Raw genomic sequence first — 22,525 nt, forward strand, 5'->3', positions numbered from 1 at the left:
TTTGGGAGGCTGAGGCCGGCGGATCACAAGGTCAGGCGATTGAGACCATCCTGGCTAACACGGTGAAACCCCGTCTCTACTAAAAATACAAAAAATTAGCCAGGCATGGTGGCACATGCCTGTAATCCCAGCTACTCAGGAGCCTGAGGCAGGAGAATCGCTTGAACCCAGGAGGCAGAGGTTGCAGTGAGCTGAGATCATGCCACTGCACTTCAGCCTGGGTGATACAGCGAGACTCTGACTCAAACAAACAAACAAACAAACAACAACAACAAAAAAAACCAATAAAGGTAAAGGTTTACAGTATGTTTCAAGGTTAGAAAATGAGTCAGTTCCTGGGGGTGATGGCTCACACCTGTAATCCCAGCAATTTGGGAAGCCACAGTGGGTATATCACTTGAGCCCGAAGTTCTAGACCAGCCTGGGCAACATGGCACAACCCCATTTCTTCAAAAATTACAAAAATTAGCCAGAGCTGGGCACCATGGCTCATGCCTATAATCCCAGCACTTTAGGAGGCTGAGGCAGGTGGATCACCTAAGGTCAGGAGTTCGAGAGTAGCCTGACCAACATGGTGAAACCCCGTCTCTACTAAAAATACAAAAAATTAGCCAGGCGTAGTGGCGGGCACCTGTAGTCCCAGCCACTCTGGAGGCTGAGGCAGGAGAATGGTGTGAACCCAGGAGGCAGAGCTTGCAGTGAGCCGAGATCGCGCCACTGCATTCCAGCCTGGGTGACAGAGCGAGACTCCATCTCAAAAAAAAAGAAATATATACATATACATATATATAAAGTTTAGCTGGGTGTGAGGGAGGGCACCTGTAATCTCAGCTACTCGGGAGGCTGAGGCAGGAGAATTGCTTGAACCTGGGAGACAGAGGTTGCAGTGAGCCGAGATCGTGCCATTGCACTCCAGCCTGGGCAACAGAGCAAGACTCCGTCTCAAAAAAAAAAGATAAGCCAGGCACGGTGGTACATGCCTATAGTCCCAGCTACTAGAAAGGCTGAGGTAGGAGGATCACTTGAGCCTGGGAGGTCGAGGCTGCACTCCAGCCTGGGTGATAGAATGAGACCCTGTCTCAAATTTAAAAAAACGAAAGAAAGAAAAGAAAATGAGTCAACTCTGGGTGTAATGGCTCACACCTATAATCCCAGCACTTTGGGAGGCTGAGGTGGGAGGATCCCTTAAGGCCAGGAGGCCCAGACCAACCTAGGCAACAAACAGTGACCGTGTTGCTATAAAAAAAATTAAAAAATAAAAAATTAGCCTGGTGTGGTGGCACATGCCTGTGGTTCCAGCTACTCAAGAGGCTGAGGCAGGAGGACTCCTTGAGCCCAGGAGTTCAAGACTGCAGTGAGCCATTATTGTAACACTGCTCTCCAGCCTTGGCAACAGAGTGAGGTCCTGTCTTAAAAAAAAAAAAAGAAAATGAGTCAAGTGCTGATCTCAAAGGAAGTGGTTTGTATTTTCTACGAATACCAAGCTGGAGGTAATTTTACAGATCATACAATCCAGTATCTTAAAAAAAAAAAAAAGAAAAAAACTTTGTTAGTAGCAGAATCTTTTTTTATTCTCCAAATGGATATCTTCCAGAGAACACTGATACATTAACAAGTAAAAGCTAAGCTACCACCATAGGCTTTGAAGCCAAACACGTGATCCTAAATTCCTGGCTCCATCACTTCCTGGCTGCCTGACATTATTTATTTATTTTCTTGAGACAGGGTCGCATTTTCTGACCCAGGCTGGAGTGCAATGCCATGGTCATAGCTCACTGCAGCCTCAAACTTCTGGGCTTAAGGGATTCTCCTGCCTCAGCCACTTAAGTAGCTAGAACTACAGGCACATACCACCACTCTCAGCTAATTTTTAAAACTTTTGGCCAGGTACGGTGGCTCACGCCTATAATCCCAACACTTTGGGAGGCCGAGGTGGGCAGGTTACAAGGTCAGGAGTTGGAGACCAGCTTAGCCAACATGGTGAAACCTCATCTCTATTAAGAATACAAACATGAGCCGGGCATGGTGGTGCACGCCTGTAGTCCCAGCTACTTGGGAGGCTGAGGCAGGAGAATCACTTGAACCTAGGAGGCGGAGGTTGCAGTAAGCCAAGATCATGCCATTGCACTACAGCCTGGGCAATATTGAGACTATCTCAAAGGAAAAAAAATGTTTTCCTAGAGATGGGGTCTTGCTATGTTGCTCAGGCTAGTCTTGAACTCCTGGCCTCAAGTGATCCCCCTACCTCTACCTCCCAAAGTGCTTGATTACAGGCATGAGCCACCTTGCCTGGCTTTCTGCATGATTTTATTTACTTATTTATTTGAAACAGGGTCTGGTCTGTTCTCTGGGCTGGAGTGCAGTGGCATAATCATAGCTAACCGCAGCCTCCAATTTCTGACTCAAGTGATCCTCCCACCTAAGCCTCTGGAGTAGCTGGGACTACAGGTGTGTGCCACCATGCCTGGCTAATTTTTTATCTTATTGTAGAGATGGAGTCTTGCTACGTTGCTTAGGCTAGTCTTGAACTCCTGTCTACATGACTTTAAACAGGTCAATTTATTTCTCTGAACCATCTTTCTTAACTGTAAAATGGGAATAATAATAGTGCCTTCCTTTTAGAGTTGTTATGCATACATTTAAAATGGTGCCTGGCCACATGGTGCATGCTCAATATATTAATATCGTATAATAGCTATGTTCATTTCACTGCTCTGTGATTCAGTTTCTTCGTCTGTAAAATGTGAATAATAATAAGTGGCTGGGTGCAGTGGCTCATGCCTGTAATTCCATCACCTTGGGAGGCCAAGATGGATCACCAGAGACCATGAGTTCAAGACAAGCCTAGACAACATAGGGAGACCCTGTCTCAATTTAAAATAATAACAGCAACTACCTATAAAAGTGATTGCAAGGACTCAATTAGTTAACATACATAAGCTGGGCGCGGTGTCTCACGCCTGTAATCCCAGCACTTTGGGAGGCTGAGGCGGGCGGATCACGAGGTCAGGAGATAAAGACCATCCTCACTAAAGCGGTGAAACCCCATCTCTACTAAAAATACAAAAAATTAGCAGGGAGTAGTGGCGGGTGCCTGTACTCCCAGCTACTCGGAAGGCTGAGGCAGGAGAATGGCGTGAACCCGGGAGGTGGAGCTTGCAGTGAGTCGAGATTGCACCACTGTACTCCAGCCTCGGTGACAGAGCAAGGCTCTGTATCAAAAAAAAAAAAAAAAAAAATACATAAAAGCACTTAGATCCCTATTGTCCAGTGGCCACTTGCCACATAAGCGCTTGAAAAGGGCTAATCTGACCAGGGGTGGTGGCTCACTCCTGTAATCCCAGCACTTTGGGGGGCCAAGGTGGGTGGATCACTTGAGGTCAGGAGTTCGAGACTACCCTGACCAACATGGCGAAAGCCCATCTCTACTAAAAATACAAGAAAAAATTAGATGGGCATGGTGGTGAACACCTGTAATCTCAGCTACTTGAGTGGCTGCAGCATGAGACTCACTTGAACCCTGTAGGCGGAGGTTTCAGTGAGCCGAGATCACATCCCCGCACTCTAGCCTGGGCAACAAAGCGAGACTGTCTTTAAAAAGAAAAGGGCTGGCCGGATGCGGTGGCTCACACCTGTAATCCCAAAACTTTGGGAGGCCGAGGTGGGCAGATCATGAAGTCAGGAGATCGAGACCATCCTGGCTAACACGGTGAAACCCCATCTCTATTAAAAATATAAAAAATCAGCCGGGCATGGTCGCAGGCAGCTGTAGTCCCAGCTACTTGGGAGGCTGAGGCAGGAAAATGGCGTGAACCCGGGAGGCGGAGCTTGCAGTGAGCCGAGATCACGCCACTGCACTCCAGCCTGGGCAACAGGGCCAGACACTGTCTCAAAAAAAAAAAGAAAAGGGCTAAACTACTTTAAGATGTGCCGTAAGTGTAAAACACCAGATTTAGAAAACTTTGTACCAAAAAGTAAAATGTCATTGATATTTGTATATGGGTAAGATATTGAAAAATATTTTGATATTGTGGATTTAAGCATGCATGGCATTTTGATCAATGATGGACCATATATAAAATGATGGTCCCATAACATTATAATGGAGGTAAAAGATCCCCTGTTACCTAGTGATTGTCACAGAAATCCGCGCCCAGCCATGTTTGTGTTTTAAGCTATGTGTTACTACAAAAGTGCCAAAAAGTTTAACAAAACCAGCCTGGGCAACATGGCAAAACTCTGTCTTTACAAAAAATACAAAAATTAGCCAGGTATGGTGGCGCGTGCCTATAGTCCCAGCTATTTGGGAGGCTGAGGTGGAAGGATTGCTTGAACCCAGGAGATCAAGGCTACAGTGAGCAATGGGTGACAGAGCGAGACCCTGCCTCAAAAAAAAAAAAAAAAGGTAAGCATTCATGAAGTAAAAAGTTACAGTTGGCAGGGTGCATGGCTTACGCCTGTAATCCCAGCACTTTGGGAGGTTGAGGCAGGCAGATCACTTGAGGTCAGGAGTTCGTGACCAGCCTGGCCAACATGGTGAAACGCTGTCTCTACTAAAAATACAAAAATTAGCCAGGCATGGTGGTGCACGCCTGTAGTCCCAGCTACTTGGGAGCCTGAGGCAAAAGAATCACTTGAGCCCAGGAGGTGAAGTTTGCAGTGAGCCAAGATCACGCCACTGCACTCCAGCCTGGGTGACAGAGGAAGACTCCGTCTAAAACAAACAAACAAACAAAAAAAAACTGACAGTAGGCTAAGGTCAACTTATCAAAAACAGAAAAAAAAAAATTTTTTTTTAGGGATGGGGGTCTCACTATGCTGCCCAGGCTGGAGTGCAATGGCTATTCACAGGTGGAATCACCATGCACTACAGCCTTGAAATCCTGGGCTCAAGTGATCCTCCTGTCTCAGCCTCCCAAGTAGCTGGGACTACTGTGGTAGCTGTGCCACCGTACCCAACTAGAAAGTTGTTTTTTTTTTTTTGAGATGAAGTCTCACTCTATTGCCCAGGCTGGAATGCAGTGGTGCAATCGCAGCTTACTGCAACCTCCACCTCTCAGGTTCAGGCGATTCTCCTGCCTTAGCCTCCAGAGTAGCCGGGACTACAAGTGCCCGCCACTACACCCAGCTAATTTTTGTATTTTTAGTAGAGACAGGGTTTCATCATGTTGGCCAGGATGGTCTCGATCTCCTGACCTTGTGATCCGCCCACCTTGGCCTCCCAAAGTCCTAGGGTAGGTGTGAGCCACCGTGCCCGGCCTATTTTTTATCTTTTATACTGTATTTGTACTGTACCTTTTCTATTTAGATTTGTCTAAACACACAAATATTTACCATTATAGTCCAGTTGCCTATGGTATTCAGTACAGTCACATGCTGTATAGGTTTGTAGCCTAGGAGCAATGCGCTATACCATATATCCTAGGGTGCAGTAGGTTTGTGTAAATAAACTCTAGGATGCTTGCATAAGATAAACTCAGGGCTGGGCACAGTGGCTCACGCCTGTAATCCCAACACTCTGGGAGGCTGAGGTGGGCAGATCACCTGAGGTCAGGTGTTCAAGACCAGCCTGGCCAACATGGTCAAACCCCATCTCTACTAAAAATACAAAAATTAGCTGGGCATGGTGGCGTGTGCCTGTAGTCCCAGTTACTCGGGAGACTGAGACAGAGAACTGGTTGAACCTGGGAGGCGGAGGTTGCAGTGACCCGAGATCGCGCCACTGCACTCCAGCCTGGGTGACAGAATGAGACTACGTCTCAAAAAAAAAAAATTAATTTCCATTTCTATTTAATTTTTAAATGTGGCTACTACAAAATGCAAAGTTAGAAATGTGGCTTGCAAATTTTTCTATTGCATAGCTCAAGCTTAGAACCTTCCTGTCGTTACAAGTTCTAAGTTTGGTTTTTATCTCGCAAGCAGCACTACTGTGTGGGAAGTTGTGGGGGGTATGGAGATGAAAGAAGAGGGGCGCTACCTCCTGGGAAGTGACAACCTAGCGGGGGAAATAGATGTATCTTCCCAGTGGGGGTGAGAAGTGTCATTCTCACCTATTTCAGCAGCCTTGGTGGTATGAAAAGGCATCCCAACCAGCACAGAAGCAGGATGCCTCCAAGACTGCCTTGGTTGGCACCTGCAGCCTGAAGGGGGAGAAAAAGGCTTTGCTAGCTCCCCTACCATCGAGGATGAAGACCCCCACTGTACACAGTGTATAAGGTTTCTTTCCATGTGAATCCCAGTGACTCTCCTTAACTGGGTGGAGGTGGAAGGTGTCATCAGCCTTGTCCCAGATCGAGCCCCTCAGGCCCACAGAGCCCCAGTGGGGCCTGGCTATTACTGACACTCATGTCACACTGAGATGTAAGACGGCAGCCCAGGCCAAGCTTCCCCGGGCCCCCTCAGATTCTCGGGCCCTCCCACTCCCCTCAGGCTTCCTCGGCCTCCCTGCCAAACATCTATCTCCCTTTGGACCCCACTGCTCCCCAAAACTCCCCACGCCCTTAGTCTGTTCCTTCAGTTCCCCAAACTCCTTCAGCCTCATCTAGACTCCCCTCCGTCCCTCTTCTAGGACCCCAAAAGCTCTCCTCGGCCCCAGGACCCCGCAGAGGTCCCGTAGTCCCATCTCTGAGACCCCACAAAGCCTTTCGGACCCCTCAGGTGGCCCTTAGGCCTCCGGAGATCCCTTGGCTCCCCACACTCTCCTCAGACCCCAGCTCACCTTAGCCTCGCCCCGAACCCACCTCACACACCCCAAACGCCCACAAGACGCCGCTCTGTCTAGTCTCTCCCAACTCCCGCGCACCCCCGGACGTCCCCCCCACCCCAGGCCCGGATCCTGGAATCACCTGGGCCCCGCGCCCCACGCCCCGCCGCCGGGCCCACCTGCGCGCCCAGCTGGTTCAGCTGCTGCATGTCGCCGCCCACGGCCTCCGGCACCGGGTCCTCAGTGCAGTGCAGGCGGCCCATGGCGCGCGCCCCAGCCCCGCAGGTTCCACCGCCGCCGCCGCCCTGCTCAGCTTCCTCCTCCGCTGCCGCTGCCACCGCTGCCGGCCTCTCCGCGCATCCACAACCGCACTTTCGCCACGGCCGTCGCAGCGCACTCCTCCCCCGGCCGCCCTGGGCTGTCCGGAGCCGGGGAGCCCTCGCAGGGCCGCGGACACGCGCGGCCGCCGGGCTCCGGGGAGGGGCAGGGGCGGCGCCGGCACCGGCAGACGCGAGGTTTCCTGCCAGCTCTCCCGCTGAGTGACCTTTGGGTACGGCGCTTGGCCTCTCTGAACCTCAGTTTCACCATCTGAGAAAATGATGGCTGGGGTAGCTCCTTAAATGAGTTAAGCCTCCAGAAATGTTTAACGCAGAGACCGGCACACAAGAGGTCTTCAATCAATGGCTAGCTGCTATTATCATCATCACTGTTACTATGCACTCCAGAGATATTTATGGCAGCCTACTCGATGCCAGACACTGGGGACAGGGAAGGGAACAAAGCAGGCCAGAGTGTCTCTCGGAGAGCTGACATCAGAGTAGAGACTAGGTCTCAACCTTGGAAGGGCATCAGCATCACCCCAGCATCACCTGGTATTGCCGGGCCCCGCCCCCAGAGGATCTGATTCGAAAGGCCAGGGTGGAGCCTGAGAATTTGCATTTCCAATAAGCACCCAGGGACTACACTTTGAGACCTTCTGGAGTGGAAGAAACTGACTTACCAAAGTTTCCTCAAAATAGTGCGAGGGCTTTGACTGTGCGGGGCAGGGAGGGTGGTGGTGAGGTGGGTGAGGGGAGGTTACTGAGACCGTGATCATCACTGCAGCCCCTCAAACACTCTAACCCCCATGCCCTCTCTTCCCAGGGGCTCCTCACAGTTCCCAGGTGAATATTACCCTAATCCCCACTGGAAACATGAGAAAATAGAGACATGCTACCCAGAATCTAGGAACTGAACGCCAAGCCTAAGGGCTTCACCTAGCCCCTAAGTCCAGCCTTGAGGGTAAAGAGGTAATGCCGAGAAACCTGGAGCAGGGAAATGTGGGGGGTTTGGCTGGCCTTCCTCACCAGCCCTCCTCCTCTCCTCTACCCTTTCCTGAAAATCCCTTCTGTAAAAGTATAAACAAAATGTCTTCTACCCGGCCCGGCGCGGTGGCTCACTCCTGTAATCCCAGCACTTTGGGAGGCTGAGGCGGGCGGATCACTTGAGGTCAGGAGTTTGAGACCAGCCTCAACATGGAGAAACTCCGTCTCTACTAAAAATACAAAATTAGCCGGGCGTAGTGGTGCATGTCTGTAATCTCAGCTACTCGGGAGGCTGAGGCAGGAGAATTCCCTGAACCCGGGAGGCATAGGTTGCGGTAAGCCGAGATCGCGCCATTGCACTCCAGCCTGGGCAACAAGAGCGAAACTCCGTCTCAAAGAAAAAACAAAAAAGTCTTCTACCCAAAGGCCAAGCCCATCCCCTTCAGTCATTATATCATTCATACATTCATTCAACAAATATTGAGTGGCACATGCCTGTGGTCCCAGCTACTCGGAGGCTGAGGCAAGAGGATCACTTGAGATCTTGAGATCGAGACTGCAGTGAACCCAGATGGCGCCACTGCACTCCAGCCTGGGCGACAGAGCAAGACCACATCTCCATAAAAAAAAAAGAAGGTCTGCTGTGAGGCAGATACCATGACATGATAGGGGGTGGGGATTCCACAGTGACACAACCAGATGAACCAGATGCAGTGCCTGGCCTCTGAGAAGTCAGAATTGACCCAGGGGGCAGACGCAAGTGTGTGTGAAAGTATTAAGGGATGCCAAAAAGTAGGAGGTGCTTTGAGAATGTGTACAGGACACAGTCCGAGTTTGGAGTACCTGGAAGAGAATAAACCTTCGGGTGACAAACAGACAGGAACTCAGAGGCCCTACTCACCGTGCAAGAATTTTTTTTTTTTTTTTTTTTGAGACAGATTCTGGCTCTGTCACCCAGGCTGGAGTGCAGTGGCACAATCTCGGCTCACTGCAATTTCTGCTTCCCGGGTTCTAGTGATTCTCCAGCCTCAGCCTCCCGAATAGCTGGGAATGCAGGTGGCCACCACCAAACCCAGCTAACTTTTGTCTTTTTTTTTTTTTTTTGGAAACGGAGTTTTGCTCTTTTTGTCCAGGCTGGAGTGCAATGGCGAGATCTCGGCTCACTGCAACCTCCGCCTCCCGGGTTCAAGTGATTCTCCTGTCTCAGCCTCCCAAGTAGCTGGGATTACAGGCATGTGCCACCACCCCGGCTAATTTTGTACTTTTAGTAGAGACGGGTTTCTCCATGTTGGTCAGGCTGGTCTTGAACTCCCCACCTCAGGTGATCCGCCTGCCTCGGCCTCCCAAAGTGCTGGGTTTACAGGCGCGAGCCACCGCACCTGGCCCAACTTTTGTCTTCTTACTAGAGATGGGTTTTCACCGCATTGGCCAGGCTGGTCTCATACTCCTGACCTCAAGTGATCCACCTGCGTCAGCCTCCCAAAGTGCTGGCATTACAGGCGTGAGCCACTGCACCTGGCCCGGAATTTTTATTTTTAAATATTTTTAACCTTGTTAAAAAAGAAGATCTGGGCTGGGCGCAGTGACGCATGCCTGTAATCCTAGCACTCTGGGAGGCTGAGGCCGGTGGATCACCTGAGGTCCGGAGTTCAAGACCAGCCTAGCCAACATAGTGAAACCCTGGTTCTACTAAAAATACAAAAATTAGCCGGGCATGGTGGTTCATGCCTGTAATCCCGGCTACTCTAGAGGCTGAGGCAGGAAAATCGCTTGAACCCAGTAGGCAGAGATTGCAGTGAGCCGAAATCCCACCACTGCACTCCAGCCTGAGCGACAGAGCAAGACTCTGTTCAAAAATAAATAAATAAATAGTTGGGGGAAAAAAAAAAGAAGATCCCCATCAGGGCATTACATTTCTTCATATCTTTAAGTGTTAAATCAACTGTTTAGGTATAAAAAATAAAATGAACCTGTTTTAAGTTTTGTTTTGTTTTTAACATCCTGGAGAAAACCACTGGATTTCTTTTCATTTCTGCTTCCACAGTGACTGGTGCTGAGTCACTTGATAAATACTGTATTTGTGGAACGGAATTAGCTCATGTGACAGAAAATACAGAAAAGGAAAGGAATTCACTTGAAACTGACACCCAATACTATAGGAATATGGTGACTCTTCTTTTCCAGTCTTTTTTTTTTTTTTTGAGACGGAGTCTCTCTCTGTCGCCCAGGCTGGAGTGCAGTGGTGCTATCTCGGCTCACTGCAAGCTCCGCCTCCCGGGTTCACGCCATTCTCCGGCCTCAGCCTCCCGAGTAGCTGGGACTACAGGTGCCCGCTATCACGCTTGGCTAATTTTTTGTATTTTTAGTAGAGACGGGGTTTCACCGTGTTAGCCAGGATGGTCTCCATCTCCTGACCTCGTGATTCACCCGCCTCGGCCTCCCAAAGTGCTGGGATTACGGGCGTGAGCCACCGCGCCCGGCCTTTTTCCAGTCTTTTTCCACATCGCAGGTCACTGGGGTTGTGTGATTTGTTTTCGTTTTACATACACAGGACTCTCGCATTTCACCAAGTTATTTAATAATCCCTCATACTCCACGTGTGGTTCCTTGGACCAGCAGTGCAGGCGTTACCTGGAAGCTTGTTAGAAATGCTGAATCTCAGGCTGGGTGCGGTGGCTCTCGCCTGTAATCCCAGCACTTTGGGAGGCTCGAGGCGGGCGGATCACAAGGTCAAGAGATTGAGACCATCCTGGCCAACATGGTGAAACCCCGTCTCTACTAGAAATACAAAAATTGGCCGGGCGTCATGGCAAGCGCCTGTAGTCCCAGCTACTAGGGAGGCTGAGGTAGGAGAATAGCTTGAACCCGGGAGGCGGAAGTTGCAGTGGGCCGAGATCGGGCCACTACACTCTAGCCTGATGACAGAGTGAGACTATATCTCACAAAAAAAAAAAAAAAAGAAAGAAAGAAAGAAAAAGAAATGCTGAATCTCATTCCAGCCCTTTGGGAGGCCGAAGCAGGCAGATCACCTGAGGTCGGGAGTTCGAGACCAGCCTGGCCAACGTGGAGAAATCCTGTCTCTACTAAAAATACAAAAATTAGCCAGGTGTGGTGGCACATGCCTGCAATCCCAGCTATTCCGCAGGCTGAGGCAGGAGAATCGCTTGAATTTGGGAGGTGGAGGTTGCAGTGAGCTTAGATCACTCCACTGCACACAAGCTTGGGTGACAGAGTGAGACTTTGTCTCAAAAACAAATGAATAAATAAAATAAATACCGAATCTCAGGTCTACTAGACCTGCTGATTCAGGATCTGAATTTTAACAAGATTCCCAAGTGATTTGTGGGCACATTAAAGTTTGAAGTGCAAATAATAACAACCACTTTAAGTGCTCACTTTGTGCAGGACTTTATTTTAAGCATTTGAATACACACCGTGTATAATGATAATAATACTTTGCATTGTCTACTGATTGTCGCTCATATTACTTTTTCTTTTTTGTGTGTGCTGAAACCCAGGAATGAACCATTATTTCTATTTTAATGTTTACCACAATGTGTTATTGCTGTCGTTTATACATCTGTCTCCTCCACTTACTAATTATTTTGTCTCAGGCAAATTACTAACCTTTCAGTGCTTCTATTTCTGTTTTTATTTATAAAATGGAAATGATAATATAACCTTCTTGGAAAGATGAAACAAGACAATGCTTATAAAGCATTTAGCACAGCAACTGGACTATGGTAAGAGCTCAGTAACTGCTTGGTATTATTATCATTTCAATTTTTCAATCTTATAAAAAGAATATGGCAATAAACATTCCTGTACACAATTCTTTTCCACATCTGATTATTTCTTTAGGAAAAATTTCTAGGAAGGCAAGGAATATTATGTTCAGTCCTTCTGGGCTCTAAATGTCATGGGGATGGGGTAGAGATGAGGATGTCTAATGGATACCACAAAAAGTAGTTATAAAGAATGAATAGGCTGGGCGCGGTGGCTCACACCTGTAATCCCAGCACTTTGGGAGGCCAAGGCGGGCAGATCACCTGAGGTCAGGAGTTCTAGACCAGCCTGACCAATATGGAAAAACACCGTCTCTACTAAAAATACAAAAAATTAGCCGGGCCTGGTGGTGCATGCCTGTAATCCCAGTTACTCAGGAGGCTGAGGCAGAAGAGTTGCTTGAACCCAGGAAGCGGAGGTTGTGGTGAGCTGAGATCACGCCATTGCACTCCAGCCTTGGCAACAAGAGCGAAACTCCATCTCAAAAAAAAAAAAAAAAAAAAAAAAACAGAGAGAGAGAGAGAGAATGAATGAACAAGGGCCGGGGGCGGTGGCTCACATCTGTAATCCTAGCACTTTGGGAGGCCGAGGCAAGTGGATCACTTGAGGTCAGGAGTTCAAGACCAGCCTGGCCAACATGGTGAACCTCCAACTCTACTAAAAATACAAAAATTAGCTGGGCATGGTGGCAGGTGCCTGTAATCCCAGCTACTTGGGAGGTTGAGGCAAGAGAATAGCTTGAACCCAAGAGAAGGAGGTTGCAGTGAGCCAAGATTGTGCCATTGCACTCCAGCCTGAGCAATAAGAGCAAAACTCTATCTCAAAAAAAAAAAAAAAAAAAAAAAAAAAAAAAAAAAAGGCCGGCCGAGGAGGCTCATGCCTGCAATCCCAGCACTTTGGGAGGCTGAGGCAGGCAGATCACAAGGTCAGGAGTTGGAGACCAGCCTGATCAACATGGTGAAACACTGTCCTTACTAAAAATACAAAAATTAGCCAGGCTTGCTGGTAGGCACCTGTAATCCCAGCTACTCAGGAGGCTGAGGCAGGAGAATTGCTTGAACCCGGGAGGCAGAGGTTGCAGTGAGCTGAGATTGCGCCACTGCACTCCAGCTTGGGTGACAGAGTGAGACTCCATTTCAATTAAAAAAAAAAAAGGAAGAAAAGAAATGACAAATACTTCAGGTGAAGGATACCCTAAATTCCCTGACTTGATTATTACACATTCTATGAAAGCAACAAAATATCACATATACCCCATAACTATGTACAAATATTATGTATCAATATATTTTTTTAATATCACAAGGACGGATGAATTTTCAAGGTAAGCAGAAACTAAACCATTACCCATGAACCATCTCTCTGAAAACACCCAGAAATTAGCATTTCTGCCTGAACAGGCACCTGGTGCAGTTCCCTGATGAGGCTCCGGGTCCAGGCCCTGCCCGCCTTCCAACCCACATCCCCTACATCCCAAAGAGGAGACATCCAAGTCCTCTAAATTAGCCTCCAAATCTCAAATCTCATTTTTGGCTTCAATGATAAAATGCTACCTAAACATCGTCCAAAAATGCTGCATAATATTCTATGGAGCAAGAATTAAATGCTCATAACTAATCCTTGTGGTTGCCTATTTAGAACTCTCTGACTTTTCTTTCTCATTAAGAACTTTGTAACTAACAAAGGCAATAGATAAAAAAAGTCTTTCCAATTTTCTCCTTCACAATCCACTCTTAGAGGAAGGAAGGAGCAGTGATTACTGTTAATGTGATAACTTTGCAGCAGGAAATGCAGGCCGGAGCCAGGACTCTCTTCTAGAGAACCTCCTGCCCCCATTTCAGCCTTAATGAGGGACCCTACTCCCTTCATTCACTTTAAAATGTCCCTGTGGAGGGCAACGAAAGTCCTCACTCCCTCTCCCCTCCCCCGCGCCTGCAAGTGAAAGGAGTTCATTAAGAAGTAGTTTCTCAGGCAGGGAGGATTCCTGCTGGGAGTTTCACCAAGGGGCCAGGTTTTCCCTAGGAGAAAGGTCTAACCCTTCACACTCTGAAATGCCAAAGGGCATTTTTTTTTAAATTAAACTTTTAATTTTGAGATCATTGTAGACTCACATACAGTTTTAAGAAATGATACAGAGACATTCCTTGTGGCCTTTACCCGGTTTCCCTCGATGCACAGATCCCACAGTGTCATCACCAGGATATTGACATTGATACAGTCAAGACGCAGAACATTTCCATGGCAGCAACGATCTCCCATGTTGCCCAATGGCATTTTAACAGAAGGGACAAGTGCTAGATCCTCTAACAAAAACTAGAAGAAAATACTATGAACATTTTCAGGTTAAAAAAAAAAAACTGGGCCGGGCATAGTGGCACATGCCTGTAATCCCAGTACTTTGGGAGGCCGAGGCCGGCAGATCACCTGAGGTCAGGAGTTCGAGACCAGCCTAGCCAACATGGCGAAACCCCGTCTCTACTAAAAGTACAAAAATTACCCAGTCGTGGGGGCGCATGTCTGTAATCCCACCTACTCCGGAGGCTGAGGCAGGAGAATCGCTTGCACCCGGGAGGTGGAGGTTGCAGTGAGCCGAGATCACACCATTGCACTCCAGCCTGGACAACAAGAGCGAAATTCTGTCTCAAAAAAAAAAGAAAAAAAAAAAGCACGTAACAAAAATGTAAAAATACAGTTGACCTAGATTCCTGACATCTATGTCATGAAAGTCATTGACAAAGGAAGGCTGGAGAATTGCTCTAGATTAAAATAAATAAAAAAGACAAGATAACAATGCAATGTGTAATTCTGGATGGAGGTAAACAATTGCTATAAAAGACATTGGCACAAAATAAATGTACTTAACACTACTGAACTCTGCACTTAGAAATAGTTAAGATGGTTGCTCTTTCCTGTAGTCCCAGCTATCTGATAGGCTGAAGTAGGAGGATCCCTTGCGTCTATGAGTTCTAGGCCTGGGCAACATAGTGAGAACTTGTCCTCAAATAAATAAGAATAAATAGTTAAAATGGTAAATTTTATGTGCTTTTTTAAAACCACAATTAAAAAAATACATTATTGTGACAATTGAAGTCTGAACACCCACTGTAGATTAGATAATAATATTGTATCAATGTTCAATTTCCTGAACTTGATAAATGTAATTTGGTTATGGGAAAATGTCTTTGTTCTTAAGAAATGCATGCTCAAAGTACTCAAGGTAAAAGTGGATAAAATGGTTCAGGGAAAAAAATGAGCCAACACATGTGGTAATGTGGAGATCACTGATTAATTTCTAAATTGGCTCTGAGCATGCTGGAAGCCAGAGGGAGATAAGTCAATTTCACCTCTAGTTTTTCATCCTTACACAGGTAAATTAATGTAGATAAATTTCTCTTGTTGGACTTACAGGAGAGTTCCAATTCTCCAATTTTTATCTAGGACATGGTGATGAATTTGTTTACCTGTTCAAAAATCTTCCTTCAAATGGCAGGATTTCTGGGGTAAAGTTTAAGCCTTTTTAAGATCCTCTGGCCTAAGCTCCAATGGATGTTTAAGCTGTCCCTCTAGAAATTTGCTTTTTAAAGAGCCCTTTGGCAGTTCCTACTTTGAGGGTGTGGGTGACAATGTCTCTACCTTTTGGGAATCTCACCCCTCATTTCAAATTCATGGTAGGAATCACTTTGCCTGAGAAAATGAGGCCTGGATCTCTATTGTCCGCTTTGTTTTTCTCTGCAGAACCATTATAAAGTGAATGCCTGGCCTGCCCTGCTTTAGGCCAGCAATGCATATCACTGCTGGGTGCTGTGAACACAATCCGGGGTGTAATCTTGGGGGACTGACCTCTAGAACTTTCTTTTCTGGACTATTTTTATCATCTGAAAGATAGAGGAGTCGCTTCATTCATTCCAGTAGTAGGTATTTGTTGAGCACCTACTATATTCCAGGTCCTGTGTTGGGTGTCAGGGACACAGCAATGAATAAGATAGATGACTGCTCTGCCTCTACACTGCTCAAAATCTAATGAGGGAGGCACACCTTATATGAAGAGTCACGGAAAGACATTGCAAAGGAGAAAAATGCTAGGAAGGAGAGTGGGGGGCTGTCAACAGGTGTAATGGGGGTAAACCTGTCCGGCGGAGGGAAGGTAAGCAGATGGAGCAGTTAGCCTCTGTGGGGCCTTAGGAAAGGAGCAATTGAGGGGGAAGCCCTGGGGTCTTGGGCATGTCACCCCTACCTTCTCCCTCTACTCTGCAGGTCAGCATAACTTGGTAATCATTTCCTGGCCTGCAGCCAGGGTTATCAGCATGCTGTGTATATGGACGTCGTGAAGATTGGAGGCTGAGGGCCCTGACCAGAGGAGATAAGAACAGGTTTGGACAAGAAGAATCCATCCCCTCTATGTTTATCTCAAAACGGTAGAGCAGGCTGAGTCTGGACCCAGAACAAATCCAGGAAGTAGAATCCAAGAAGCAGAGAGATGAATCAAGAATGACACTAAGGTTTTGGGCTTCATTCCATGCTACACTATCTGCCCCATTTGACAGTGAAGGAAGCAGACGCCCAGAGAAGGGAAGACACCTGTCTGAGGTCACACAGTGGGTTAATAGGAGAATGAGAACAGAACCTAGACCGCTGAACTTTTCCCCTTAACCATCTTACCCTCCTCAGAAGTCAAGCCTGAGCTTCCAAAAATGAAGGAACTCAGGTCCAGGGAAACTTTCTGTTTTGTCTGAGGGTGAGGGATGAGATAATGATGAGTCAGGGCTTCAGGGAAACGAACATTTACTGATTACCTAATGTGGGGGTAGATGTGGTCCCTGCTCTCAGAAAGCTCAAAGTGTGAATGAATTAAAGTCAATGTGACCAGGCGCGGTGGCTCATGCCTAAAATCCCAGCACTTTGGGAGGCCGAGGCAGGCAGATCACCTGAGGTCAGGAGTTCAAGACCAGCCTGGTGAACATGGTGAAACCCCATCTCACCTAAAAATACAAAAATTAGCCAGGTGTGGTGGTGGGCGCCTGTAATCCCAGCTACTCAGGAGGCTGAGGCAGGAGAATCGCTTGAATCCAGAAGGCAGAAGTTGCAGTGAGCTGAGATCGCGCCACTGCACTCCAGCTTGGGCTACAGAGTGAGACTTCATCTCAAAAAAAATAAATAAATAAAACAACACAAACAACAACAACAACAAAATAAAGTCAATGTTACTTCATTTCATGAACAACATCAAATTTGGAGGGGGCCATGGGGTATTCTCCAAGGGGCAAAAACAGGTGATGTCCAACAGAGTGAGGCATGGCATCTCTTTCAAGGGCCAGGATGGAGAAAGAAATCAGTGGATTCAGCTCTGGACCCCAAGTCAAAAGCCAGAAAGACAAATCACAGATTTTGATTTGCAGTTAAGCCTTTTCTCACGAGGGCCACTGTACGGCATCCAATAATAATAACTGCTACTATTATGATAAATAACAAGCATTCATTCATTTGATGTCTTGTCTGGAGAAACGGGATAAAACATTATCCACAGACATAGAGACTGTTGCAGAATGAAGGGAGGGCTTTCCTGTTTTCTTTTCTTTTTTTTTTCTGATGGGGTCTCACTATGTTGCTCAGGCTGGTCTTGAACCCCTGGGCTCAAATGATATTCCTGCCTCGGCTTCCAAAAGTTCTAGGATTACAGGCCTGAGTCACCATGCCTGGCATCCTGTCTTCTATTAACTACCACTGTGCTAGGCATGGTGCAGAATATTTCACTCTGACCTGATCACGTCACTGAAAACCCTGCAAAGGCTCCAATTGCTGAAAGCGTGGATGCTCTGATTCCTGTCTTCTTCACCTGAGTCTGCCTTCCTCTTCAGCTGTGTGCTCTAGCCATGTGGGCCTCCCCTCTGTTCCTTGCCCAAGCCGTGCTCCTTGTGCCTCAGGAGCTTAGCAAGTGCTGTTCCCAAATCCCAGAACACGTTTCCCTCACCCCTTAGCCTGCTGCTTACTTAACCATTGCATCCCCTCAGATCCCTGCATGAGCATTGCTTCTTTTCTTTTTTCTTTTTTTTTTTGAGACTGTCTCGCTGTGTCACCCAGGCTGGAGTGCAGTGGCAGGATCTTGACTCACTGCAACCTCTGCCTCCCAGGTTCAAGTGATTCTCCTGCTTCAGCCTCCCGAGTAGCTGAGATTAGAGGAGCATGCCACCACGTCCTGCTGATTTTTTTTTTTTTGAGATGGAGTCTCGCTGTCACCCAGGCTGGAGTGCAGTGGCGTGATCTTGGCTCACTGCAACCTCCGCTTCCCAAGTTCAAGCAATTCTCACACCTCAGCCTCCCAAGTAGCTGGGATTACAGGCACCCACCATCATGCCCAGCTAATTTTTGTATTTGTGTAGAGATGGGGTTTCACCATGTTGGCCAGGCTTGTCTTGAACTCCTGACCTCAAGTGATCTGCCGCCTCAGCCTCCCAAAACGTGACTTACTTCTTCAGGAAAGTTTTCTCAGGCCCCATGACCTAATTAATTTTCATTTTATAATACCCTGTACTCGTCATAGCATTTAATACAATTGTAGGCCGGCCAGGTGTGGTGGCTCACACCTGTAATCCCAGCACTTTGGGAGGCCAAGGCGGGTGGATCACAAGGTCAGGAGTTTGAGACCAGCCTGATCAACATGGAGACACCCCATCTCTACTAAAAATACAAGATTAGCCAGGAGTGGTGGCACACGCCTGTAATCCCAGCTACTTGGGAGGCTGAGGCAGGAGAATCACTTGAACCCGGGAGGCAGAGGTTGCGGTGAGCCAAGATCGAGCCACTGCACTCCAGCCTAGGGGATAGAACAAGACTCTGTCTCCAAAAAAAAAAAAAAAAAAAAAAGTACAATTGTAATCTTACAACTATTAGTGAGATAAATTTGATGAATGTCTGTTTCCTCTACTCAGTTGTAGTTCCGGGAGGGCAGTAAAAGGACTTTGCATTTTTCTTCTCAGCTTTATTCCTTACCACAGTGCCTGGCACAGAGTTCAGTGAATTCAATAATTCAATAAATATGCACACCCTGGCCAGGCGTGGTGGCTCACGCCTATAATCCCAACACTTTGGGAGGCAAAGGCGGGTGGATCACCTGAGGTCGGGAGTTTGAGACTAGCCTGACCAACACAGAGAAATGTTGTCTCTGCTAAAAATACAAAGTTAGCCAGGCTTGGTGGCTCATGCCTGTAATCCCAGCTACTGGGGAGGCTGAGGCAGGAGAATCACTTGAATCCAGGAGGCAGAGGTTGAGGTGAGCTGAGATCGCGCTATTGCACTCCAGTCTGGGCAACAAGAGCGAAACTCTGTCTCAAAAAAAATTAAAGAAATATGCACACCCCTCCTCCACCAATGACAGAAACAGGGAAGGAAATTCCGTGCTGGTTCTGCAGGGGATAGAGAGAGATGGATGAACTCCCTCCATCCCAATCCCGTTTGGGCCTTGTTTATCCCACGTGTGAAATGGAGATTAGACTCCTTCCTACTTCACAAGGGTGTTGTGAGAGTCAAAGTGTAATACACATAAAATGTTTAGCTCAAGTGCCTGAGCACATGGTAGGCTCTCAGCAGCTATTATGAAATTGCTTATTTAATAATAATTAATGAATGGCTGGGTGCGGTGGCTCACACCTCTAATCCCAGCACTTTGGGAGGCCGAAGCGCATGGATCCAGCCGGGCCAACACGGTGAAATCTCGTCTCTACTAAAAAATACAAAAATTAGCCAGGAATGGTGGCGGGTGCCTGTAGTCCCAGCTACTTGGGAGGCTGAGGCAGGAGAATCGCTTGAACCTGGGAGGCGGAGGTTGCTATGAGCTGAGATCGCACCACTGCACTCCAGCCTGGGTGACAGAGCAAGACTGTCTCAATAATAATAATAATAATAATAATAACAATAATAAATAATGAATATGACCTGGCCAGGCTCTGTGTACTTGTCTAGCTAGGTACATTTAAGGAAAATATTTCAATGACCCGTTTTGGGGTTAAAAAAAGGAGAATAGGAGTCTGGGTGTTCCTGTTGAAAGTGAAAGGTGAGGAACCCACTTTGCAAATGAACGTGGCCTCTAATGGCACTACCATTAGGACTGAATACCTTACAATGGGGTTCTTTCACATACATGGGCTCTGCGAATCCCCACAGTCATTCTGGGAAGTAGGCATGGCTATTATTATTATTATTACTCCAATTAGACAAGGGAGATGCTTGAGGCTCGAACTCCTTAGCATAGCACACACAGAGTGGGGGTCACAGGGAGATGGGGGTCGAGTGGAGGATCTAGTCCCAGCTCTGCCAGCTGTAGGCCCCAGGCAAACCACTTCACTTTTCTGAACCTCATTTTCCTTCACTATAAGGAGAGGCACTAGATACTAGATACTAGAGGTGGACTGGGCTTGCCTGAGAGGCTGGGAGACCAAGGGACAGACAGGACTATTTGGCAGACACTGAGGATGGAAGGAGAACATTTATCCCACACCTGCCAAGAGCTGAGGCAGCCAGGAAAGCAGTGCAGCATATACTCATTAATAATAATATATAGGCCAGGCGCAGTGGCTCACACCTGTAATCCCAGCACTTTGGGAAGCCGAGGCGGGCGGATCATGAGGTCAGGAGATCGAGACTATCCTGGCCAACATGGTGAAACCCCCTCTCTACTAAAGTACAAAAAAAAAATTAGCTCGGCGTAGTGGCACCCGCCTGTAATCCCAGCTACTCGGGAGGCTGAGGCAGGGGAATCTCTTGAAACGGGGAGGCAGAGGTTGCAGTGAGCCGAGATCGCACCACTGCACTCCAGCTCTGGTGACGGAGTGAGACCCTGTCTCAAAAAAAAAAATGTGTATATATATATATAAAATTTAACAAGCATTTTTATGGTATTTTCCATGTGGTAGGCACTGTTCAAAATGCCTTACATGTATTAACTCATAATTCTCAGGAAACCCCTAGGAAGTAGGAAAAATGATCTCTATTTTAAAGATGCGCTTTGGTAGTCTGAGGTGGGAGGATCACTTAGGGTCAGGAGTTTGAGACCAGCCTGGCCAACATGGTGAAACCCTGTCTCCACTAAAAAGACGAAAATTAGCCCAGTGTGGTGGCCCGCGCCTGTAATTCCAACTACGCGGGAGGCTGAGGAAGGAAGAAGAATCACTTGAACCTGGGAGGCAGAGTTTGCAGTGAGTCAAGGTCGCACCACTGAACTCCAGCCTGGGCAACAGAGTGAGACTCTGTCTCAAAAAAATAATAAAATAAAATAAAAATAAAGATGAAGAAATTGTGGCATAAAGAGGTAATAACACATGCTCACAAAAATTTCTATCATACATTAAGTGTCTAGTATGCAGCAGGCACTGTGCTAAGCACTTTACATTTGTTATTAAAAACCTGTAGCTGCTCTAAGAACTGAAAGGTCATGGTATAATTTAACAGAAATGTAAGTTAACTATAACATGTGTGTCAGCCCATCAGTGTGTTGATTTATTAGCATAAGAGTGTCTAGGATCTATATATGTACATGTGGCTTTTCTTTATAATGTTATTTTATTTTAGAGATGGGGGTCACACTGTGTTGCCCAGTCTGGTCTCAAACGCTTGGGCTCAAGCGATACTCCTACCTTGGCCTCTCAAAGTGCTAGGATTCCAGACAGGAGTCACCGTGCCTGGCCCTTAATTTTCTGAAGAATAAATTTTTATTTAATATAATATCTAATTTATAGAAGAGTTGTAAGTCTAGTTCAAGGAACTCCTGGATGTCTTTTAAACCACATTATCTATTTGGTTCATATTTTGTCCTCTTTGCTTTAGCAATCTCCCTGACCCATACATATGCATATTATTTTTCTGAATTATTTAAGAGTAAATTGGTGATACTGTGTCTTTTTTTATTTTTTTTCTTTGAGACAGGGCCTTGCTCTGTCGCCCAGGCTGGAGTGCAGTGGCAGGATCATGGTTCACTTGTAGCCTCCATCTCCCAGGCTCAAGGGATCCTCCCACCTTAGCCTCCTGAGTAGCTGGGACTACAGGCACAGGCTACCATGCCTGGCTAATTTTTTTGATCTTTAGTAAAGACAGGCAACACTTTGTTGCCCAGGCTGCTTCTGAACTTAACTCAAAGGATCCTCCTGCCTTGGCCTTTCAAAGTTCTGGAATTACAGGCGTGAGCCACAATGCCCGGCTGCCTCTTCTAAATAATTTGGTGTTCATCTCCTAAGAGCAAGGACACTCTCTTATCTATGTGTTGTTGCTTTGGGTGATGAAACAAATGGTCTGTAATCACAGAATATGTATCCCCTTAATGAATATTCCTCACCTTCATGATTATAATGATTGTGATCTGTTAAAACACAATTTTTTTTTTTTGAGACGGAGTCTCGCTCTGTCGCCCAGGCTGGAGTGCTGGAGTGCAGTGGCACGATATCGGCTCACTGCAAGCTCCGCCTCCTGGGTTCACGCCATTCTCCTGCCTCAGCCTCCTGAGTAGCTGGGACTACAGGCGCCTGCCACTGTGCCCGGCTAATTTTTTGTATTTTTTAGTAGAGACGGTGTTTCACAGTGTTAGCCAGGATGGTCTCAATCTCCTGACCTCGTGATCTGCCCACATTGGCCTCCCAGAGTGCTGGGATTACAGGTGTGAGCCACCACACCCAGCCTAAAATACAATTTTAAGTAAACATTGCAAGGTGACCACACAGTAGGTGCTCAGTCAAGGTTTGATTACACA

At 47.1% G+C, this 22,525-nt stretch overlaps 1 protein-coding gene across 8 annotated transcripts in view, besides 18 other annotated features; it reads right to left on the reverse strand.

The window, feature by feature from the left end:
* Positions 1-7,042, reverse strand: part of COMMD7 (COMM domain containing 7) — a 40,769-nt gene extending 33,727 nt beyond the window's left edge. For all 8 annotated transcript variants that reach the window (XM_047439932.1, NM_001099339.2, XM_017027685.3 and 5 more), the window contains exon 1: positions 6,883-7,042. In XM_047439932.1, coding sequence (XP_047295888.1) covers positions 6,883-6,966 — 84 coding nt within the window. In that variant the 5' untranslated portion in view covers positions 6,967-7,042. The remainder of the gene's footprint in view (positions 1-6,882) is intronic.
* Positions 679-1,534: an enhancer, noted in NCBI's record as "H3K27ac hESC enhancer chr20:31324911-31325766 (GRCh37/hg19 assembly coordinates)". NCBI's record gives its function as "activates a minimal SCP1, AML or CMV promoter by ChIP-STARR-seq in primed H9 embryonic stem cells {active_cell/tissue: H9 hESC(primed)}" and the evidence as "EXISTENCE:reporter gene assay evidence [ECO:0000049][PMID:30033119]".
* Positions 1,905-2,070: a silencer, noted in NCBI's record as "fragment chr20:31326137-31326302 (GRCh37/hg19 assembly coordinates)". NCBI's record gives its function as "represses an EF-1alpha promoter that drives an FKBP-Casp9 reporter gene in an ReSE screen in K562 erythroleukemia cells {active_cell/tissue: K562}" and the evidence as "EXISTENCE:reporter gene assay evidence [ECO:0000049][PMID:32094911]".
* Positions 4,707-5,208: an enhancer, noted in NCBI's record as "OCT4 hESC enhancer chr20:31328938-31329439 (GRCh37/hg19 assembly coordinates)". NCBI's record gives its function as "activates a minimal SCP1, AML or CMV promoter by ChIP-STARR-seq in primed H9 embryonic stem cells {active_cell/tissue: H9 hESC(primed)}" and the evidence as "EXISTENCE:reporter gene assay evidence [ECO:0000049][PMID:30033119]".
* Positions 5,659-5,833: a silencer, noted in NCBI's record as "fragment chr20:31329890-31330064 (GRCh37/hg19 assembly coordinates)". NCBI's record gives its function as "represses an EF-1alpha promoter that drives an FKBP-Casp9 reporter gene in an ReSE screen in K562 erythroleukemia cells {active_cell/tissue: K562}" and the evidence as "EXISTENCE:reporter gene assay evidence [ECO:0000049][PMID:32094911]".
* Positions 5,878-6,705: an enhancer, noted in NCBI's record as "H3K27ac-H3K4me1 hESC enhancer chr20:31330109-31330936 (GRCh37/hg19 assembly coordinates)". NCBI's record gives its function as "activates a minimal SCP1, AML or CMV promoter by ChIP-STARR-seq in primed H9 embryonic stem cells {active_cell/tissue: H9 hESC(primed)}" and the evidence as "EXISTENCE:reporter gene assay evidence [ECO:0000049][PMID:30033119]".
* Positions 6,818-6,887: a silencer, noted in NCBI's record as "silent region_12806". NCBI's record gives its function as "represses an Ori minimal core promoter by ATAC-STARR-seq in GM12878 lymphoblastoid cells {active_cell/tissue: GM12878}" and the evidence as "EXISTENCE:reporter gene assay evidence [ECO:0000049][PMID:35858748]".
* Positions 7,068-7,297: a silencer, noted in NCBI's record as "silent region_12807". NCBI's record gives its function as "represses an Ori minimal core promoter by ATAC-STARR-seq in GM12878 lymphoblastoid cells {active_cell/tissue: GM12878}" and the evidence as "EXISTENCE:reporter gene assay evidence [ECO:0000049][PMID:35858748]".
* Positions 7,593-8,537: an enhancer, noted in NCBI's record as "OCT4-H3K27ac hESC enhancer chr20:31331824-31332768 (GRCh37/hg19 assembly coordinates)". NCBI's record gives its function as "activates a minimal SCP1, AML or CMV promoter by ChIP-STARR-seq in naive H9 embryonic stem cells {active_cell/tissue: H9 hESC(naive)}" and the evidence as "EXISTENCE:reporter gene assay evidence [ECO:0000049][PMID:30033119]".
* Positions 10,426-11,368: an enhancer, noted in NCBI's record as "OCT4-H3K4me1 hESC enhancer chr20:31334657-31335599 (GRCh37/hg19 assembly coordinates)". NCBI's record gives its function as "activates a minimal SCP1, AML or CMV promoter by ChIP-STARR-seq in naive H9 embryonic stem cells {active_cell/tissue: H9 hESC(naive)}" and the evidence as "EXISTENCE:reporter gene assay evidence [ECO:0000049][PMID:30033119]".
* Positions 12,310-12,951: an enhancer, noted in NCBI's record as "H3K27ac-H3K4me1 hESC enhancer chr20:31336541-31337182 (GRCh37/hg19 assembly coordinates)". NCBI's record gives its function as "activates a minimal SCP1, AML or CMV promoter by ChIP-STARR-seq in naive H9 embryonic stem cells {active_cell/tissue: H9 hESC(naive)}" and the evidence as "EXISTENCE:reporter gene assay evidence [ECO:0000049][PMID:30033119]".
* Positions 12,952-13,593: an enhancer, noted in NCBI's record as "OCT4-NANOG-H3K27ac-H3K4me1 hESC enhancer chr20:31337183-31337824 (GRCh37/hg19 assembly coordinates)". NCBI's record gives its function as "activates a minimal SCP1, AML or CMV promoter by ChIP-STARR-seq in primed H9 embryonic stem cells {active_cell/tissue: H9 hESC(primed)}" and the evidence as "EXISTENCE:reporter gene assay evidence [ECO:0000049][PMID:30033119]".
* Positions 13,594-14,235: an enhancer, noted in NCBI's record as "OCT4-NANOG-H3K27ac-H3K4me1 hESC enhancer chr20:31337825-31338466 (GRCh37/hg19 assembly coordinates)". NCBI's record gives its function as "activates a minimal SCP1, AML or CMV promoter by ChIP-STARR-seq in primed H9 embryonic stem cells {active_cell/tissue: H9 hESC(primed)}" and the evidence as "EXISTENCE:reporter gene assay evidence [ECO:0000049][PMID:30033119]".
* Positions 14,236-14,876: an enhancer, noted in NCBI's record as "NANOG-H3K27ac-H3K4me1 hESC enhancer chr20:31338467-31339107 (GRCh37/hg19 assembly coordinates)". NCBI's record gives its function as "activates a minimal SCP1, AML or CMV promoter by ChIP-STARR-seq in naive H9 embryonic stem cells {active_cell/tissue: H9 hESC(naive)}" and the evidence as "EXISTENCE:reporter gene assay evidence [ECO:0000049][PMID:30033119]".
* Positions 15,102-15,675: an enhancer, noted in NCBI's record as "OCT4-NANOG-H3K27ac hESC enhancer chr20:31339333-31339906 (GRCh37/hg19 assembly coordinates)". NCBI's record gives its function as "activates a minimal SCP1, AML or CMV promoter by ChIP-STARR-seq in primed H9 embryonic stem cells {active_cell/tissue: H9 hESC(primed)}" and the evidence as "EXISTENCE:reporter gene assay evidence [ECO:0000049][PMID:30033119]".
* Positions 15,676-16,249: an enhancer, noted in NCBI's record as "OCT4-NANOG-H3K27ac-H3K4me1 hESC enhancer chr20:31339907-31340480 (GRCh37/hg19 assembly coordinates)". NCBI's record gives its function as "activates a minimal SCP1, AML or CMV promoter by ChIP-STARR-seq in naive H9 embryonic stem cells {active_cell/tissue: H9 hESC(naive)}" and the evidence as "EXISTENCE:reporter gene assay evidence [ECO:0000049][PMID:30033119]".
* Positions 16,250-16,823: an enhancer, noted in NCBI's record as "OCT4-H3K27ac-H3K4me1 hESC enhancer chr20:31340481-31341054 (GRCh37/hg19 assembly coordinates)". NCBI's record gives its function as "activates a minimal SCP1, AML or CMV promoter by ChIP-STARR-seq in primed H9 embryonic stem cells {active_cell/tissue: H9 hESC(primed)}" and the evidence as "EXISTENCE:reporter gene assay evidence [ECO:0000049][PMID:30033119]".
* Positions 19,042-20,028: an enhancer, noted in NCBI's record as "OCT4-NANOG-H3K27ac-H3K4me1 hESC enhancer chr20:31343273-31344259 (GRCh37/hg19 assembly coordinates)". NCBI's record gives its function as "activates a minimal SCP1, AML or CMV promoter by ChIP-STARR-seq in naive and primed H9 embryonic stem cells {active_cell/tissue: H9 hESC(naive and primed)}" and the evidence as "EXISTENCE:reporter gene assay evidence [ECO:0000049][PMID:30033119]".
* Positions 20,029-21,014: an enhancer, noted in NCBI's record as "OCT4-NANOG-H3K27ac-H3K4me1 hESC enhancer chr20:31344260-31345245 (GRCh37/hg19 assembly coordinates)". NCBI's record gives its function as "activates a minimal SCP1, AML or CMV promoter by ChIP-STARR-seq in naive H9 embryonic stem cells {active_cell/tissue: H9 hESC(naive)}" and the evidence as "EXISTENCE:reporter gene assay evidence [ECO:0000049][PMID:30033119]".

The sequence above is a fragment of the Homo sapiens genome, chromosome 20 (genome assembly GCF_000001405.40).
Source record: "Homo sapiens chromosome 20, GRCh38.p14 Primary Assembly".
Classification (NCBI taxonomy): domain Eukaryota; kingdom Metazoa; phylum Chordata; class Mammalia; order Primates; family Hominidae; genus Homo; species Homo sapiens.